Below are 5,715 nucleotides of genomic sequence, written 5' to 3'. Positions count from 1 at the left end.
AAAATGAATCAAAATCTAAATATATGAGATAAAACTACAAAAATCTTAGTAGAGAACATAGGAAAACACCTTTATGACATTGGATTTGATAATAATTTTTTGGATGTGACACCAAAAGCACAGATAACGAAACAAAAAAGTCAAAAACTGAACTTTGTCCATGCCAATTACATTTTTATGCATCAAAGGAGAGTATCAAGAAAGTGAAAAGACAGTCCACAGAATGGAAAAGAACATTTGCAAATTAAGTATCTGATAAGAGATTAATATCCATAATATATAAAGAACTCCTACATATCAACAACAAAAATCAAACAAGTCCAACAAAAATTAAGCAAAAGACTTAAGTAGACATTTCTCCAAAGAAGATACACAAATGTCCAATAAGCATGTGAAAAGAGGCTCAACATCACTAGTCATTAGGGAAATGCCAATGAAAACCACAATGAGATACAACTTCACATCCATTGGGATGGCTATTATCAAAAAAGAGAAAATAGCAAGTGTTGGAGAGACTGTAGAAATATTGGACCTATTGTGCATTGTTGCTAGGAGCGTAAAATGGTGCATCCACTGTGGTAGACAGCTTGGCAGTTCCTCAGAAAGTTAAACATAGAATTACCATATGTTCCATGAATTCCACTTGTAAATATGTATATACCCAAAAGAAGTGACAGCAGAAACTCAAACAGATATGTGTTTGCCAGTATTCATAGCAGCATTATTCACAATAGCCTGATGGTAGAAGTAACCCAAGTGTTCATCAACACATGAATGGGCAAACAAAAAGTGGTACATATACATGCGGAGAAATATTATTCAGCCATAGAAACGGATGAAATTTCATAGATGGCATAACATGGATATACCTTTAAAACCTTTTGCTAAGTGAAATAGGTCAGATAGAAAAAGTCAAATATTGCATGTTTGTGTGAATATATTGTATAATTCCACTTACGTGAGATACCTGTGGTGGACATTTCATACATACGGGAAAGAGAATAGAGATTACCAGGGTTTGGAAGAGGGAGAAATGGGTAGTAATTGTTCAGTGAATAGAGACTTTCAGTATGCGAGGATGAGAAAATTCTGGAGATGCATGGTGATCGTGATGGGTGCAAAACTGTGAATGTACTTAATGTCAAGGAATTGTACACTTAAAACTAGTTAAAATGGTCAATTTAATGTTGTATATATTTTATCACAATTAATAACTTAAAAAACCTAATAGCATGGATTGTGGATCAGGTAGACACAAGTTATAAGATCCAAGTTTGAATCTGCTGAATGTCTAGGGCATGCTACTTAACCTCTCTGAGCCAGTTTCCTCCTCTCCCCAGGGCTAAACATCGTCTCCACCCCTACTTCATGGCTGGTGGTAAAGATAAGCGGGAAATGTGGGCTGGTACAGGGGACCCCACAGCACAGGCCTCCAGTGCACGGTCACTAGGTCAGCCTGAAATCAGAGGCCAGGCTGAAGGAAGTGAGCAAGGAAGCCAGTAGGTGAGGAAGGCGTGGAGACTGAGGACTTGTCAGCCTGGAGCAGGAAACATTCCTGGGGAACACAACAGTATTAAGCAGGAAAACAAAATGAAACAAAAAGGAAATTTCCCGCATTAATAAGAGGACAATGAAGCCTATTTATTCTATGATGAAGGCCCATTTTATTACACTCACAGGTTCTGAGGATCAGGCACTCAGGGCAGAGTGGGGAGGGCTCCACATGTCTGGAGACCCTGATGGGAAGGCTTGAGCAGCCGGACATGACTTGAAGGATTGGATACTGGGATTTCTGGAGGATCCTCCATTCATAAGTGTGGGTTCTGGCAGGAGGACTCAAAAGCTGGGCTCAGCTGGAACTGTGAATGGAGACTCTGCATGTGGCCTCCCTGTATGACCTGGGCTTCCTCTCAGCATGGTGGCTTAAAGGTGCTTGGGCTTTAACAGGTGGCTTAGAGTTCCAAGAGTAAGTATTTTCAGTGAGCAAGTCAGAAATTGTAGAGCCTTTTATGGCATCACCTTGGGAATCACACAGTGTCACTTCCACTGTACTCTATTAATCCAAGCAGTCAATGGGATACCAAGAGTCAGTGGGAGGGAACACAGGCCCCAGCTCTAGGGCAGGAGTGTGAATGAGTTCACATCCCAGTGTCAAAACTGCTGTATGACCAGGGCTTTGAATGGCAGAGAGGGTATAGTGTGTGGAAAAACATGGGCACAACCAAGTGGGATTCAAGCGTGATTCAGAAGTCAGAGTGTTACTGTAAAACATTTGTAGAAATACCTTAATCAATTTTATTTTCTCCATTTTTGTATGCACAAGAGTGGCATATAATTTTAGAAAATTTCTACCAAGTGTATATGTTCTGGCTATGTGTTCCTACCCAAATCTCATCTTGAATTATAATTCAAATTGTAACCCCCATGTGTTGGGGCAAGGACCTCATTGGAGGTGGTTGAATCATGGGGGTGATATGCTGTTCTCATGATAGTGAGTGAATTCTCATGAGATCTGATGGTTTTGTGAGGGGCTTTCCCCCCTTCGTTCTGCATTTCTCTCATTCTTCTCCTTCCTGCCATCATGTGAAGAAGGACGTGTTTGCCTCCCCTTTTGCCATGACTGTACGTTTCCTGAGGCCTCCCCAGCCATGCTGAACTGTGAGTCAATTAAATCTCTCTTTCCTTTATAAATTGCCCAGTCTTGAGCAGTTCTTTACAGCGGCATGAGAATGGACTAATGCAATAAATTGTTATCAGGTAGTGGGGTGCTGCTGTAAAGATATCAAAAAATGTGGAAGTGACTTTGGAACTGGGTAACAGGCAGAGGTTGGAACAGTTTGGAGGGCTAACAAGCAGACAGGCAGGATGATGTGGGAAGGTTTGGAACTTCCTAGAGACTTGTTGAATGGCTTTGACCAAAATGCTGATAGTGATATGTACAATGAAGTCCAGGCTGAGGTGGTCTCAGATGGAGATAAGTAACTTGTTGGGAACTAGGATAAAGGTGCTTCTTGCTATGTTTTAACAAAGAGGCTGATGGCATTTTGCCCCTGCCCTGGAAGTCTGTGGAACTTTGAACTTGAGAGAGATGATTTAGGGTATCTGGTGGAAGAAATTTCTAAGCAACAAAGGGTTCAAGAGGAAGCAGAGCATAAAAGTTTAGAAAATTTGCAGCCTGAAGATGTGATAGAAATGCAAAACCCATTTTCTGGGGGAAATTCAAGCCTGCTGCAGAAATTTGCATAAATAATGAAGAGATGAATGTTAATCATCATGACAATGGGGAAAATGTCTCCAGGTCATCTCAGAGACCTACAGCAGCTCCTCCCATCACAGGCCCAGAGACCTAGGAGGTAAAAATGGTTTCGTGGGCCAGGCTCATTGGCCCTCATCTCCTCTATGCAGCCTTGGAACATAGTGCCCTGCGTCTCAGTTGCTTCAGCTCCTGCCGTGGCTAAAAGGGGCCAAGGTACAACTTGGGCCATTGTTTCAGAGGGTTCAAGCCCCAAGCCTTGGAAGCTTGCACATGGTGTTGGGCCTGTGGGTGCACAGAAGTCAAGAATTGAGGTTTGGGGCCAGGTGTGGTGGCTCACGCCAGTAATCCCAGCACTTTGGGAGGCCAAGGCCAGCGGATCTCCTGAGGCCAGGAATTCAAGACCAGCCTGGCCAACATGGTGAAACTCTGTCTGTACTAAAAATACAAAAATTAGCCTGGCATGGTGGCAGGTGCCTGTAATCCCAGCTACCTGGGAGGCTGAAGTGGAGAATCACTTAAACCCAGGAGGTGGAGGTCACAGTGAGCCGAGATCATGCCACTGCACTCCAGCCTGGGCAACAGAGTGGGACTCCATGTCAGGAAAGAAAAAAAAAAAAAGAATTGAGGTTGGGAAATCTCTGCCTAGATTTCCGAGGATGTGTGGAAACACCTAGATGACCAGGCAGAAGTTGCTGCAAGGGCAGGCCCCTGATGGAGAACCTCTGTTAGGGCAGTGCAGAAGGGAAATGTGGGGCTGGAGCTCCCACACAGAGTCCCCACTTGGGCACTGCCTAGTGGAGCTGTGAGAAGAGGACAACTGCCCTTCAAATCCAAGAATGGTAGATCCACCGACAACTTGCACCTTGTGCCTGGAAAAGCCACAGGCACTCAAAGGCAGCCCAAGAAAGCAGCTGGGAGGGGGTCTGTACCCTGTAAAGTCACAGGGCCAGAGCTGCCCAAGGCCGTGGGAGTCCACATCTTGCACCAGCATGACCTGGGTGTGAGACATGGAGTCAAAGGAGGTCATTTTGGAACTTTAAGGTTTAATGACTGCCCTATTGGGTTTCAAACTTGCATGGGGCCTGTAGTCCCTTTGTTTTGGTCAATTTCTCCCATTTGGAATGGGTGTATTTACACAATGCCTGTACTTGCATTATATCTAGGAAATAACTTTCTTTTGATTTTACAGGTTCATGGGTGGAAAGGACTTGCCTTGTCTCAGATGAGACTTTGAACTTGGACTTTTGGGTTAATGATGGAATTAGTTAAGACGTTGGCAGACTGTTCGAAAGGCATGATTGTGTTTTGAAATATGAGGACATGAGATTTGAGAAGGACCAGGGGTGGAATAATATGGCCTGCCTCTGTTTCCCCACCCAAATCTCATCTTGAATTATAGTCCTTATTGTAATGCCCATATGTAGGGGGAGGGACTTACTGGGAGGTGATTGAATCATGGCGGTGGTTGCCCTGTGCTGTTCTCATGATAGTGAGTGAGTTCTCAGGCAATCTAATGGGTTTGTGAGGGGCTTTTACCCCCTTCACTCTGCACTTCTCTCATTCTTCTCCTTCCAGCCACCCTGTGAAGAAGGACCTGTTTTGCTTCCACTTCCACCATGATTGTAAGTTTCCCGAGGCCTCTGCATCCATGCTGAACTGTGAGTCAATTAAACCTCTTTCCTTTATAAATTACCCAGTCTCAGGCAATTCTTTATAGCAGTGTGAGAATGGATTAATACAGTCTAAAATAGATCTTTCTTTATATAACTTAAAAATTACAAGTGATGAAAAGCATTTGAGTTGGTTGGTTGTCAGTTTTTTCCCCCTCTTTTGGAGCTGTATTTAGTATAATAGAATATCTTAAATTAGTGGTCTTTTATAATAAATGAAATTGGGTGTACTTCGCCCCAGCATATTAGGGTTCCCTTGCTTCATGCCTTCCATGACAGTTGGTATTATTATATTTTAACATTTATGCCTAATGATTAAACATCTCCTTGTGGTCTTAATTTGCATTTTCTAATTACTCTAGAGACTTCGTCCTTTCACATGATTTTGGTCGTTAGTGGTTCCTCTTTGAAGTGCCTATTCATGTCTGTGTCCATTCGTTGCTTTGGGTGTTCCTCTCTTTCACACTAATTCATTAAAAGTATATATCCTGGATACTAATCCTTTATCAATTGCTGCAAGTATCTTCTTTCAGTGTGTGGCTTGCTTTTTCACTCCGTTTGTTGTTTTTTAATCAAAGTATAAGTTCTTAATTTTAACGCACTTTAACTGTCATTTTCCACCATGGCCCGAGTCGCGGAGTCCGCCTTCCTGGCAGAGCGTTGCGTGGTCACAGCTGAGGTCTGGGGAGCAGAGGCGGCGGGCGCTCCCGGGGGGAGCTGGGCGATTCCGGCGGGGGGAGGTGCCGATCGAGCGGCCGCCAGGCTGCTGGGGGAAGGAGGGCCAGGAGG

Source organism: Homo sapiens, chromosome 10 (genome assembly GCF_000001405.40).
Source record: "Homo sapiens chromosome 10, GRCh38.p14 Primary Assembly".
NCBI classification, from domain to species: Eukaryota; Metazoa; Chordata; class Mammalia; order Primates; family Hominidae; genus Homo; species Homo sapiens.
The sequence above is the reverse complement of the archived record's forward strand: the minus strand, read 5'-3'. Positions refer to the sequence as shown.